We start from the raw sequence: 15,253 nt of genomic DNA, 5'->3' as shown, positions 1-15,253 counted from the left end.
ACAAAGATGAAAATGAGGATCCGGTTTAGATATCTATGACCTAAAACTTGTTTATCTTACCCCCCCACCTTTGAAAACTTATCCATCCCTGTTGGGATACCATAAAGAACTCTCTGTGTCTAGTAACACCTGGAAATCCCCACGACTGTAAACTAAGTGTATTTTGGAGTGTATTAATCTCTGCTAAAGGAGCCCTTCCACCCAGCCTCCTTCTCTGAACCCCCTGCCGCCCACACAGGCGCAGGTCTCACTGGGAACCCTCAGCGAAATGAGAGCCCGGCAAACCAGTCGTTGCTGCCCGCCCAGGGAAAACACCAGGTGCAGAGTCCAGTGCAAAATGTGAACTGGGAAAACACTTATAAATCAAGCAGGTCCCCAGGAGTAAAAGTACAAGTTAGCAAAAAATAACAACAAAGTGGCCATGAAATGTTAAATCAGACCAACCCAACAGCAAGCTAATTACAGTGGCCCTTACAGAAAGCCCAGAAGTGAAGACTGAAATGATAAACTAAGAAAAAACTAGAGAAGCATTCTCACCTCCCACATCCTGCTACTTTTTATATTTTAAGAGTATTGGCCCTATGTGATATATGTTACAAATGTTTTTTTTTCCCAATTGTCAGTTATCTTATGACTTTGCCATTATTTTTTTTTAATTTCCCATGCAAATAGGTCTTACTTTTAGGTGGTTCAAATGATCGGTTTTTTGTTGCATCTGGATTTTGAGTTGTATTTAGATAGCATCTCCCCACATCTCTGCTATAAAGTCACCCGTATTTTCTCCTAACACTGGTGGATTTCATTATTTCCTTCTTCTTCCTCTTCTTCTTCGAGACAGGGTCTTGCTCTGTGGCTCAGGCTGGAGTGCAGTGGCATGCTCGTTGCAGCCGTGATCTCCCAGGCTCAAGCAATTCTCCCACCTCAGCCTCTCGAGTAGCTGGGTCTACAGGCATGCATCGCGCCTGGCTAATTTTGTTTTTATTTTTTTTTTAAATAGAGACGAGGTCTCCCTATGTTGCCCAGGCTGGTCTTAAACTTCTGAGCTGAAGCAATCATCCCTCCTTGGCCTCCCAAAGTGCTGGGATTACAGGCGTGAGCCATCACACCTGGCCAGGTTTCATTTTGGATCCATGTGGAGTTTATTCTTGTATATGGTTGTCTAGTGGTCCCCACACCATTTGTTTAAAAGTCAATTTTTGCCTCAGTGATTGTAGATACCACCTTTGTCATGTACTAAATTTCCACACATATGTGGGTCTATTCCTGGGCTTTCTGTTCTATTTTGTTGGTCTGAATGTGTATGCATGTGCCAGAACGACACCTTGAATTACAGAAGTTTTATATCGTACATTATAATAGATGTTAGGTAGCATTTTTTTTTCCCCTGTGTTTCCCCAAATATTCTTGCATGCTTTTTAGATTTTGTTTTGTTTTGCTCTATGAACTTTAATATCAGCTTGTCTGGCTCCAGAAAAAGGCTTATTTGTATTTTTGCTGGGATCACATTAACTTGGGAAGAACTGATATCTTTATGATATTTATGATACTAAGTCATTCTATCAAGACAGGGATATGTTCCTGAACATCTTTCCATATGTTCGAGTCTATTTTTGTGCCTTTCAGAGTGTTTTAAAGTTTGTTTTTTTCCCTATATAAAACGTACATATTTATTGTTAATTTTACTCTTAAGTATTGCGTCTTTTTTGTTGCTGCATCCTATTACTTTTTGAAGCCAAGCTGATCTCAGCACTTGATTTCTGGTTCTATTTAAAGAGTAATATATTCTTTTCCACCTTCATTTTGGTTTCCTTTTACCCAATCCACTAGTCTCTTTGTCAGGCTTTGAGGGTATCTATACTGACCACTTTGGAAGAACAAGAGACAATATTAAGTCCAGGGTTTAAGACAGATGACATAAGACAGTGGCGAATAAGGTCTTTGGATCTTAGCAAGAAAAAAATTTGCATGTGTCTGGGGGCAAAGATAAGAAGTTGTAGGACTCACATATTTTAAAGTCCGCTTTTCTCAGTCAAGTAAACTCTATCAATCATTATGCCATCTTGGACAATCTTCCAAATCTTCTTTCCTCTTCTTGGTCTGATATAATACAGTATACTTATGAGTAATAGTATTGAGTTGATTAATCTCTACTATAAATTCTCCTTTCCTAATATTTTCCTAATACTTTCATAATCCAAACTCCATGTGGCCACAAGAATCTCTGACAGATAGTTGTCTCCAAGGCTATCTGTGCAGCCAAGTTAGAGGCGGGCCCCATGAACGAGATCCACAGCGGGATCCACATCTCCAATTGTACATTTCTGTCTGATTTCAGACTCGGGGTATTTAGCTAGTTTTCTCAGGTGGTTGGTACATGGTCCTGCTGAGACCAAGACCACTGGTTGGATTTTACCGAAAACCAGCCAGCTCTCCTTTCCCAATGCCTCTCTTCCAATAGCACTTTAATCCCTCAGACCCAAAGAGGAACGAGTGAGAAATCTAGTCAGGTCATGGGAAATGCAATGCTGAATAGCAACTGGAAACTTTAAGCCTTTGGCAGGAATGAGAAGAAAGACCCCTACTGGGTCCTTTCCTGTAATACCTCTTTCTCCACCACTTTCACTGTTGAACTTCTAAACACCCCTCAAGGTCAAGCTTAACCGTCACCTTCGATACATAATTTTTCATGAGAGCCCTCTACCTCTTAAAAAAGTAATCGCTCTCTCATCTGTTTTCCTACTAAATTTTAAACATGTTTCTATTATCATTTTAATCATATTTTATTACTGTTCCATCATTAATTGTTTATATCTCTGTCTACCAACTACGCTTCAGATTCCTGGAGGGCAGAACTATGTTTCATTCATCTCAGCACCCTCAAGATCTAGCAATTTAATTGAGTTAAATTGACCAGAGGAAGAGATTTGAACTTTTTTTTCTATTCACTGTTTGAGATCTATTAGTCATAGCCTCAGCGGGAAGCAGTGATATAAATATTAGCTGGCTCACATTTATCCCAAGATACCCTAGCTAGAGCTCCCTTGTGAAAGTATGGAATGTCCTCCATACACTACCTCCCTTTCAGCCTATTAATGAACCTTTTTTTTCTTTATTTCTTTTTTTTTTTTTTTTTTTTTTGAGATGGAGTCTGGCTCTGTCACCCAGGCTGGAGTGCAATGGCACGATCTCGGCTCACTGCAACCTCCGCCTCCTGGGTTCAAGCAATTCTCCTGCCTCAGCCTCCCGAGTAGCTGGGATTACAGGCACCCGCCACCACGCCCAGCTAATTTTTTGTATTTTTAGTAGAGACGGGGTTTCACCATGTTAGCCAGGATGGTCTTGATCTCCTGACCTCATGATCTGCCTGCCTCAGCCTCCCAAAGTGCTGGGATTACAGGCATGAGCCACAGCACCCGGCCAATGAACTCTTAATTAGTACAATGGGAATTGTTTTAAGGATTAAATAAGAAGATGCAACTAAGGCACTTATTGGTGAAATATTAGTAATTTTATTACTACACAGACTGATGAGAAAATTTGGATGACAAATAGTAGAGCTACCAAGTCAAGAGCATTCCCTTAATGGATTGTTATGTGATCCAACAATAGCTCTCCAGCTTTTTTCTACCACTACATATAGATAAGTGATAGCACATGTGGTACATGCTCCCAGGGTCACTTCTATGGACTGGTATATGGATTCATGCAGCTTATGGGCAAATTGTGGTGCATTTGCTGGACCGCCCTATCTCCTTTACCTCTATCTCAAGAAAGCACACTGGAATGTCTGTGAGTAAGAATGGCATAATTATAAAAACAGCACATCTACTCTTGTTAGTTTTGTTTTTAATAAAAAACATTTTTTCATTGTTACGAATGAAAACTCAATTCTTCATTATTACTAATAAATCACTCTAGCTTACCTCTGTTTTGGCACAGTGGTGTTTTGTAAAACTCAGTTGCTAAGATCCACTATTGTAGACCATGGGGTTCTAAAGCTGACCACTGTCGCACTATGAAATGCTTGCAAACTTTCTACTCACCATAATGATTATGAAACATGAGCTCCGTCAAATGTGCCATCAGGATATTCTCATAGGTAGACATGACACAGGATGAAGCTGAACTGTGCCATAAGGATTTTAAAGCTCAGGGTCCTGGCAGGAAAGAGATGGCAAATTCAAAAGGAGAAATTAAAGAGAGTTTGAGAAAAGGACAATTTACAAAGGTTTGGTGAGGTTTAAGGGAAATCAACAAGGGATGGTAAAGCACCCAGGGGCCAGCACCACCCAGAAGCTGCTGCTAAGCACGAAGGGAAGGGCCAGGAGTCAGTCGCTGGAGCCCAGAGAGAATTGCAGCTGTTGGAAAAGGCTGTCTACAGGATAAAGCCGCTGACAAGCCCCAGCCCAGCATGTAGTGAGCCAGGGGAATAATATGTCAAGGCCCTTCCGTTTCTCCTGCCCATGGCTCCCACTGGCCAAACCGAACTGGAATTTAGAGGCAGAGGCCTAGATGCAGTTCAGAATGGCCAGTCTTCTTGGACAGAGGGCAGAGTGAGAGATGTAAAGTGTATCTGGAGAGACAAGCAGAAAACATCCAGCACCGATGTCAGCCAGCTGTTTTCTTCTTGATACCGTGTTGTGAATTCTATCCTATCTTTTAGATGTACTGGACAAGGTTTGAGTCATTTCCTATTTGGTGGAAAAGAGAAAGCTCTTTTTTTTTTAATCAGCTAAAGCTAGAAACAACTAGACTCACAGAGGTCCAACTAAACTCTAGAACTACACAGCTTCATCTCAAACCTAAATAGAAAGAGATTTCAGTCATGCCTTCCCCAGGCCATTTTAATTCACTTTCTTGGGAAAATTCTGAATGTCTCAGTCTCTTTATCTTCATTTTCAGATTATCAATTGGACAGAAGGTAAAGATAAAACTTAACAGAATTTAAACTGACGGGGAGTGAAAAAAACTTGAAAAAGAGCAGAAATATTAGAAGGGGATTTTTTTCCCACCCTCTTCCTTTTAAATTCTTGTCGTGCATATTCAAGAGAATTTTGATGGTTGACAGAACTAGAAGTCCTGTGTGTTCACTTTGATGATGCCTCTCCTGCTCCAGCTGGAATTTCTCCTGGAGAAAGGAGCAGAGGTCGGAATGACCTCTCCCTCCTTGCTGGGCAGGTAGGGGCTCCATTTGCATTCAAAGCTAGCTCAGTTGAAAGTGTTCTTGAGAACACCAAATATTTACTCTTTTTAAAATTACGTTTTTATTAGGCTGGGTGCAGTGGCTCATGCATGTAATTCCAGCACTTTTAGAGGTGCAGGTGGGAGGATCGCTTGAGGCCAGGGGTTTGAGACCATCCTCGACAACATAGCAAGACCCCATCTCTACAAAATAAAAATTAGCAGTGCGTGGTGACACGTGCCTGTAATCCAAGTTCCTGAGGCAGGAGGATCACTTGAGCCCAGGAGTTCAAGGCTGCAATGAGCTGTGATCACGCCACTGCACTCCAGCCTGGGCAACAGAGAAAGACCCTATCTCTAAAAAATAAATAAATAAATAAAATTACTTTTTATTAATTGTTGAAATAATGTGTACATGTTAATTATATGTAATTTCTGTAATTTGGAAAACACAAAAATATATAAAGAAAATGGAAGCAGTGAATATTCTTACCACACAGTGGTAACAATCTTTAATGTTATATTCTCTTCACTCTTTCTATATGTAGATTTCCTAGGTAGGCTTTCCACACTGTGTGCAGTTTTGCATCTTCCTTTATTATAACTAACATTATAGAACAAGATTCTCCATGTTATTAAATACAGTTCAAAATAATAAAATGTAAACACTGTATAACATGTTAAATATAAATAACTATATCCCAAGTTATTTAATTATTCCCCTATTATTGAACATTTAGGTTTTTCCCATCTTCTTTATGATAAATAAGATTGCAATGAACATCTTCATTCACTCATGACTTTTAGAATCTATGATGAATTTCTTAGAACAAATTTCTAGAAGCAGAGTTACAAAGTTAAAGTTTTACTTTAGATCTGGCCAAAGTCACTATCCAAAAAGATTATACCAATTTACATTCCCACCCACAGGGTAGAAGAGTGCCTATTTTTACAGAACCTAGCTGACACTGAGTGTTGGAATTTACTTTTATCCCCATCGATGGCGTTTTGTTGTTGTTTTCGCTGACATTACTTTGTTCAGCGAAGCTGAATATCTTTTTCACACATGTAGGCCCTTGAACTCCCTTCCTTGTGAGTTCTCTGTTTCTGCAGTTTGGCAGCTAAGTTTTCTTCCAAACTTTTGTTCCTCTCCTGAGGATCACAAAACTTTGTACAACTTTATTCCAATTCATTGAGTGTTTTCAGATGGTTGGTTGCTTTTAACAGAGTGAGTTGATTCCAAAAATGTCATTTCAGTTGGTTTTTGACAGAGAGGGCCTATATGTTCAGTTGAAGGCTGCCCAGACTGTTTTCCAAAACCATAACTAAAGTTATCTTAATTGTCTCTCTGAATATATTAAAATACACAGTAGCCTACAGTTTTCAGTCCATAAATCCACAGCTCTTGGAAACAACTTTCTTTTGTGGGCCTCTCTAGGCCTAATTAGGACTATATGATCCTTTTTAGGTACTGGGAAGAGTGAGAAAAAAGAGTTTGGTCAAGCACAGGCCTTTTGACATGCATTTTCAACTTGATGTGAAGCCCAGAAATGTTACTACGAGTGTGTCCTTGAGTGCCTGTGTGCTCTCCCACTGTTTCTATGGTAGGTGATGATGAGATTATTTCTATGCTTGGGCACACCTTGCTGTGGCTACTAGAAGTTAGTGATCCCAAAGGAGAGACCAGGGAAGCCAAAGGGATTTAAGGACACAGAATCATTTTCCATTGCAAGTTGACCAATAATCTCAAGTAGTATTTGTGCAGTGCTTTCCGTTTTACAAGCACTTCCTTATACATAATCTCATTTAATATAACAACCACATGGGTTGTTTAACACCGTCACCTCTGGTTTGCAGGGATGATTAAATGACTGGCTCAAAGTCACATAGCTAATAACTGGCAGTGCTCAAACTCCTGGTTTCCGTCAGTAAACGTGACTTCAACTCTATTCTCCTGTCACCCTGGTACTTTGTTTCCTGAGTTTTAGAAATGTAATAGGATCATGGAACTAGAATTTTAAAAAAAGAACAGCAGCAACAACAAAAGTAGAAGGTGCAACAACAAAAGCAGAAGGTACAACAAAGCTGCTCATCATCTTACTCAGTGGTCCGGAGTAAAGAAATAAGGGAGATGTTGTGTAATCTGTTCAATGAACAGTTGCATTCTTGGTCTTTGCATATGCCTCACATTGTGGGCTTATCTCTGAGTGATCATATTCCCTGTGTCCTGTTGGAGACAGTGCTTTTTTTCCTGTCAATCCAGCTTGGGCTTTTACAGTGTTACAGTCATTGTTGACTCTACAAGATGCTGTAAGCTCTACACAGGCCATTGTGTGCAGGTAGACGGCTAGATGAGAAGACCTGAGTAGCCACATTGCGGTGAAATGTGCTGCTTCTCCTGGAAGAGTCTGCTAGGAATTTCAAATGTAAAAGTGCATTTTTCCTACACTTGGCGCCAATGGTGGCCCCAGTGGTGGATTTGGAAGTTATCTTTCACAACTTGACCATGTTCACCGGGGACTTGGATGCTGAATGGTGAGTGAAGATAGGCAGCATTTTTTTATTAACATATAGGCATGTGCCTGTACAGATTTCCTAAAATGGTTGAACTTCCTGGGAGAAAAGGAATTTAGACCCCAAGTCCCTGTTCTCATTATCAGGAAACAACAAAACAAGGGACTAGTCTCAGTGCTGACTGAAACCAGCTTATTGGAAGCCGCTATGTAGTTTCTGCTCAGAAAGCTTCCACCCGAATGTCAGAGTCCCCACCAAAATCTGAGGGATCAGAAGTCTCTGAATAAGCTGACCCCAAAACCCAACACAGCCATCAGGAGTGGGCATTTCCTCTGGTGTAATTGACTGTGGGCATGTGATTATTGAGTGGGGGTTAGCACTTTGGGACCCAGGCAGCTTTCCTCTGATTGCCACTGGGAATCAGAACCCAGACTGTTGTAGCACCTGGCTCCTATTCTCATGCTCTTTCCACATCACCCGTCACCCACTCTCTCTCATTAACTCGTAAGGGTTTTATCTGTCCTCAGCAAAGTGTGTGCAAAATGGAGTCTTTAGATTTGGCTGTTTCAAATTCCATGATTCTAAAAAAAGAAAAATATCTTTACTTGAGAAAGGAATTTTTCCCCCATCAAACAACAATATCTACCTATTAGCTCACACCTCCCCATCTTAATCTACAGCATGGAAGTTAGGCCTCATTCCAGCATGTGGGGACATAAATGTAAAACTCATACCACCTTAATGGGACATTCATCAGCCTAGGAGGAAGGTAGAGAGAGGAGGCCTTCTCTTGCCCACAAGAGTTCAATATGTCAGTAAAACGCCTTCAAAGAATTATGTAATTCAAATGTAATCCCATCAAAGCTGGCCATTTTCAGACACATGATGAGGGTCAAGTACTATCTGGGGACGTCATGGATATTTTATTTGGAAGTGCTAGAGTTCTTCAGTTAACTTTGTATCCATTTCCTATTCTTCTTAGGAGTTCAGGATAAAATAACCTTTATGAGCAAATTTGAAAGTTTTCCAATTTAAAAATGCCCCCCCAGACACTCAAAGGCAACCAACATGTTTATGGTAATGTAAAAATGACACAAAATCAACAATCTATATCTTTGAGCTGTCATTCATTCACTGACATTGGGTGGTTTCAAACTCTTATAATCTAAGGACAACATATGGGAAACTATGAAGTTTAGACTTATTTTATTTTATTTTATTTTATTTTATTTTTTTGAGATGGAGTCTGGCTCTGTTGCCCAGGCTGGAGTGCAGTGGCATGATCTCAGCTCACTGCAACCCCCGCCTCCCGGGTTCAAGCGATTCTCCTGCCTCAGCCTCCAGAGTAGCTGGGACTACAGGCGTCCGCCACCATGCCCAGCTAATTTTTTGTATTTTTAGTAGAGACAGGATTTCACTGTGTTGGCCCAGCTGGCCTCGAACTCCTGACCTCAGGCCATCTGCCCGCCTTGGCCTCCCAAAATGCTGGGATTACAGGCATGAGCCACCGTGCCTGGCCAAAGTTTAGGTTTATATTCACTCTTTTTTTTTTTTTTTAGATGGGGTCTCACTCTGTCGCCGAGGCTGGAATGCAGTGGCGCTATCATGGCTCACTACAGCCTCAACCTCCCGGGATTAAGCCATCGTCCACCTAAGCCTCCTGAGTAGCTGGGACTAGAGGTGTGCACCATCACACCAGACTAATTTTTTAAATTTTTTGTAGAAATATGGTCTCACCATGTTGCCCAGGCTGGTCTCGAATTCTTGGGTTCAAGTGATCCTCCTGCCTGGGCTTCCTGAAGTGCTGGAGTTACAGATGTGAACTGCTGCACTCGGTCCACACCACATTTTTAACATCAACAGGTGAGACTGGTTTTGTTCTGGGTTCATACATTCATCTTTATTGACTAATAGAGATCATACTAGACTTTGCAATTAGGTGACTTTTAAAATCCCTCCCACTTTTTAAGCTGTTTAATTTAAGATTCTGATATTTGCATCCAATTGAGATCTGATTAATAGAGTGTCTCAGAAAATGTGTTGACCAGGAAATTAGAAAATAACCCTTTTGATTATCTAGTAAGTAACTTTTATAATGAATCAGTGCCAAAATTATAATTATAATTTTCTCAAGTAATTCTAGTTATAAGGTTTCAAAAGCTTTCTTTATAAAAGAAAAAAACTTATTTTGTACATTCACTTACCATGATTATACTCCTTATTCTGAACAAAACATTTATGGAGGAAAAAGGGAGTAGGGAGGGCCATCTTCATCAATCCAAAAAGTGTGGTTATTTGATTTCTGGGGAATTGTTTCTCTCATCATCCCTATTTTTAATTTGTAAAAGTTAGTGACTTTACTAAAACATAAATCTCTCATTCTGATTTACTGATTTCCCCTCAATTTCATTTCCATCCTGCTAATCTGTAATCGAATAGCCCCATTAATACCTCCCTTCATCCAGCTGGGAGAAAAGATGCATTTTAAATCTTCTAATATTATTTAACAAAGAAAATATAGCACACCTCTGCACATTTTTAAAAAATTCTGAACCATGGTTATAAGTAACATAACATTTCAACTTAATGCCACAGGCAACCCATAAATATAACCAACTAACTAATGAATATGTCTCAAAGATTCATTAGCAAGTCAGTTATGTGAAACTCAGAGCACATTTTCCTAAACACATGGTCTTATTATTGGTAGATAGATTCCTAGACCAACCCTCTACAACTCCTTTACCCATAAGAAGCTATACTTTAGTATGACTTACAATTCCCAGTTGTGATGGTCAATATTGAGTGTCAACTTGATTGGATTGAAGGATGCAAAGTATTGTTCCTGGGTGTGTCTGTGAGGGTGTTGTCAAAGGAGGTTAACATTTGAGTCAGCGGACTGGGAGAGGAAGACCCACCCTCAATCTGGGTGGGCACCATCTAATCAGCTGCCAGCACGGCTAGGATAAAAGCAGGCAGAGGAACGTGGAAGGACTAGACTGGCGAAGTCTTCTGGCCTCCATCTTTCTCCTATGCTGGGTGCTTCCTGTCCTTGAACATCAGAGTCCAGGTTCTTCAGCTTTTGGACTATTGGACCTACACTGCACTGTGGGCTTCCCTACTTTTGAGGTTTTGGGACTCTGACTGGCTTCCTTGCTCCTCAGCTTGCAGATGACCAATTGTGGGACTTTATCTTGTGATCATGTGGGTCAATACTCCTTAATAAACTCCCTTTCCTGTATACATCTATCCTATTAGTCATGTCTCTCTAGAGAACCCTGACTAATATACCAGTCCTTCAGAAGCCCCTAAGCCAGGATCCTGAGCCCCCCAGCATAGTTAAAACTCAAGTCTCATCATTAATCAGATGGGTGATCCCAATGTACTCTCTCCTATAAAATGGGTATACAGTTGGCTACTTTTTAAGAAATATATGAAATAATGAAAGTAATGCTATTAATACAGAGTTTGGCAGAAAATAAATCATAATAGTGACTATGGTGATAGTAATGGCAAACACTTTTGAGATCTAGGCCCCTCTGCACCTAAGATAAAGAAAGGCCCTAAAAAGTAAAAGATAAAATTAAAAATAAAAATTAAAAAAAAAAAGAAAGGCCTAAGAAGTAGTTTCTCATCCCAAGTATGTGTTCACCTCCTATTTACTGAGAAAATGCATGCTGAGTGTATTGGTTTCCTGATGCTGCCATAATGAAGTCCTGGGTGGCTTAAACAATAGGAGTTCATCATCTCACAGTTCTGGAGGCTGGAAGTCTGATGTCAAGGTATTAACACTGTTGGTTCCTTCTGAGGGCGGTGAAAGAGAATCTGTTCCCTGTCTTTCTCCTAGCTTATGATAGAATTCCTTGGCTTGTAGATGGCGTTCTCACTGCATCTTCACCTCATCCTCCCTCTGTACCTGTCTGTCTCTCTGACCACATTTTCTACTTTTGTAAGAAATACATCATGTTGGATTAGGACCCAACCTAATGGCCTCACCTTGACTTGATCATCTGCAAAAACCCTGTTTTCAAATAAGGTCACATTCACTGGTACTGGGAGTTAGCATTTCAATATCTTTTGAGGGGACACAATTCAACACGAAACATAAATGAAAATTTTCACTGAGCATCTCCCATTGAAATGTCGGGACAGGCTTCAGGAAGGGGAGGGAGAGAACATCTCAGCATCTCTAGGTCCATGGAAGGAGAAATGGGGGCTCCAGCATAGCCCCTGCTGTCTCAGAGGGCAGCAGCTCTGAGAATGCTCCAGGGTAGTGGTGATACACTCAGGAACCATCCTTCTCAAAAGTAAGGCAAATCATCCACCATTTTACCCAAGCAGATATCCAAATGCCAGCCTCACCTTTTCTTTTTCAGAGGTTTTCTTGTTTCAGATCATTAGCTTGCCTCCCTTTCTGAACAACAGAAACATCTTAAGAAACTAGTTTTTCTTTCTGGCTATTAGGATCCTGAACGAATCGACGTATTATTTAATGCCTAACAATGGGTTTCCAACACCTGGGGTTTCATCAGTTTTTCAAAACTCCTCAAAGTAAAATGAATTTTATGACCAGTTAAATGTTTAAAACAAGCACATTTGTCTCATAGCACTTTTGGAGGATGAGGTCATCAAGAAATCTAACAAATGACATGAGGGTGTCCCAGTTCTCCCAAGTTGGGAATCACAGCGCTCAATAGCATGCCTGACCTCTGGAAGGAAAACCAACACCCCCTGGTGACTCATTTACAAGCAGGAAGTAATTTTTCCATTGGGAGACTGTGTATCAACAAAGTGAGTTCTTGGTGTTCTCCCAGGGTTGTAATGAACCAGGCAGGGAGTGATCTGGGCTCACTCTTCCCATGGGCAGAACACTCCCCGGGTTCCCCCAGGGGGTCTACGGAGGGGAGGGTTCTTCTGAAATAAAGCCACTCAATTATTCAAGACAATACTTCAACTCTCAAAACATCACAACTAGCTAGTCTCATGCACTATTTTAAGAGACAAAAGTTCAGGTTTTGGGGTTTTTTTTTAGACAGTCTCGCTCTGTTGCCCAGGCTGGAGTGCAGTGGTGCGATCTCAGCTCGCTGCAATCTCTGCCTCCTGGGTTCAAGCGATTTCTCATGCCTCAGACTCCCAAGAGGCTGGGGTTACAGGCGTGCACCAGCATGCCTGGCTAATTTTTGTATTTTTTAGTAGAGATGGGGTCTTGCCATGTTGGCCAGGCTAGTCTTGAACTCCTGGCCTCAAGTGATCCACCCACCTCAGCCTCCCAAAGTGTTGGGATTACAGGTGTGAGCCACCATGCTGGGTCAAAAGTTCAGGTTTCTAACATTCCAGTGGATAAAAAAAACCATGGGCAATTGTCCAGCAATACTAAGACGAAGGACGGGTCCTTTGCCTGGATCACTTCTCCCCTCTGACCCCTTTGGCTACTTATTCTACAGGTTCAGCTGAATTTTTTTTTTTTTTTTTTTTTTTGTAGAGACCCATTCACTGACCATCCTCATCTTCATTAATCTTTATTACACCATCTTAGCTATTTCCTTCATAGTTCTACTATCTATCCATTACTATTTTATATGTTTGGTCCATCTTCTTCATACAAATAGAAGCTTCAGAAGACCAAGAGCCTTGCCCATCCTCTTCTCTGCGTTAGCCCCCATTCTGATACTGTGCCTGGCAAAGAGTAGATACCCAATAAAATATGTGTCAAATGATTAATGTTCTAAATGACAAGCAGGTGAACCTTTATCCTCAGAGCCCTGTTGACTGGTATTCAAGGTGTGGTGCATACTGTAGGTTGGATTGAGCAATAAAAGATTGACCTGCAAAATATTATGTTCTTGAATATTCACTCTGGCCTAAATAAACAGAAGGAGCCCTGAGGAATTATCCTGCAAGGCTGATATAGTAGAATCATTGGCACTTGTGTAAAATTTTGGAGAATAATGTCCTAAGCACAGATGCTATTTTTAAGAACTTAACACCGGGAAAAACCTTCTGGGGCTAACTCTGTGGGAATGAGGCCCTTTTTATGTCATAGGTGATGTATGAACTGATGGCTCATGAAAGGTGAAGCTCAGACTAAGTTATCGGACTTTTTCCTTCTGAATTATAGCACAGCAAGCAGACTTGACCGATTACAGTCACTGACGAGAGTGAGCAGTCTGTGGGCTTGTTTATATTACCAAAGAGAAGTGACAATACGGCCCAATTTAGTGCCTACAGCCCAGCATAACTAAACAAATTCTCTTTCCAATCCAAGTTGAAGCTCATCTAAGGAGAGCTGGATTTATGGGAAACAAATACCCAAGAGAGTCGATCAGTCTACGGTGCTTGTTTTGGGACAAATTACTTTAAAAGCCACAAATTAGGACCCTCTAGAAACTAAACAAGAAGAAACTAAATGGCACAACTAGGTTTCTGACATCTGGTGCTCGTGCATGTTGGGCAAGGCTGTTTGCAGTAGTAAGGGAAGTTCATGGGGTCACCCAGCGCCACCTAACCAGTCACCAGCTCACAGAGGCTTGGAGACTCCATAACTCAGAGTCCAGGAGGGCTTCTGCTCAGCTGCGGACTTTTAATGACAACATCCATCAACAAGTTAAGGGTTTCAAGGACAAAGGTCTTCTAGAAAAGGCAAGTTTACCTGCTCTGTGGACAGGTCCAGAGATGGGGGTTCAGTGACACAGAGGAGCTAAAGACACAGGACTTCCTCCCCAGAAAGCAAAGATAAATACTTAGGGAAAGAAACTGCACAAAAGATTTACATCTTTTTTACTGCTACAACTTCTGTGTTAGGGAAAGCGGGAAAAGTTCCAAGGAAATCTGCCTCCCATCCTTTTGCGGAAATAAATTGTGCTTAGGCCCCAAATGGAGTAGCATTTCTGCATCGTTCTTCTCTCAGAACAATGTTTCTTAACCTTTGTGTGGGAGGGAGGGTCGTGGAGCCTTGTGACTGTGTGGACCCCCTAACTGAGGAAATGTAACACCATTTCAGGGGTGTCATACACCCCATTTAAAACTCATTCAGGGACCCACTAGAGATCCTTGTATTCTTTGAATAAAAGTGGCCCACCATTGAGTCAAAACTGGTGGGTGTTGTCAAGAGGTGATTTTACAGAGAGAAAGATGGGAGAGAAGGGAAGAGAGACTTTCCTGGAAGAAAACTCTGTCCTCCTCAAAACCTAGCCTTGCCAAGTCACATTACAAAGGTTAAGTACATGTCAATATGTAGGAATGACGTTAACAAAGGGGAAACTGGAAAAGCTCCCCCACTGTTTGGCTACTAGAGTGATTCTCCAATGGGGTCCAGTCACTGTCATTCCCTTCCCTCCTTGTGTAACTATAAGTGATTTAACAAGGTTTATAGTTAAAAATAATAGCAATAAAGGGTCCAGTGAACACTGGGATAGATGTTTATCTGTTGCAGACCTTGGGAGATGAATATCATGACTGCTAGCTGACTCATAAAGCTATAGCCTATAAGGTTAGAGAAAGCTAGCTTTATTTTAACACTCTCTACATTCATTAGCACATCAAATGTTGACAGTCCTAA

General features: G+C 41.0%; 1 long non-coding RNA gene across 1 annotated transcript in view, besides 1 other annotated feature; it reads left to right on the top strand.

Annotated features, from left to right (window-relative positions):
* The window catches only part of LOC105374428 (uncharacterized), a 92,257-nt gene that overhangs the window by 46,563 nt on the left and 30,441 nt on the right, over nucleotides 1-15,253 (top strand). The window lies entirely within an intron of this gene.
* Nucleotides 12,220-12,514: an enhancer, noted in NCBI's record as "tiled region #6384; HepG2 Activating non-DNase unmatched - State 13:Ctcf, and K562 Activating non-DNase unmatched - State 24:Quies". NCBI's record gives its function as "activates a minimal TATA promoter and a strong SV40 promoter by Sharpr-MPRA in HepG2 cells, with weak activation in K562 cells {active_cell/tissue: HepG2 | K562}" and the evidence as "EXISTENCE:reporter gene assay evidence [ECO:0000049][PMID:27701403]".

This window comes from Homo sapiens, chromosome 4 (genome assembly GCF_000001405.40).
Source record: "Homo sapiens chromosome 4, GRCh38.p14 Primary Assembly".
NCBI classification, from domain to species: domain Eukaryota; kingdom Metazoa; phylum Chordata; class Mammalia; order Primates; family Hominidae; genus Homo; species Homo sapiens.
The sequence above is the reverse complement of the archived record's forward strand: the minus strand, read 5'-3'. Positions and strand labels throughout refer to the sequence as shown.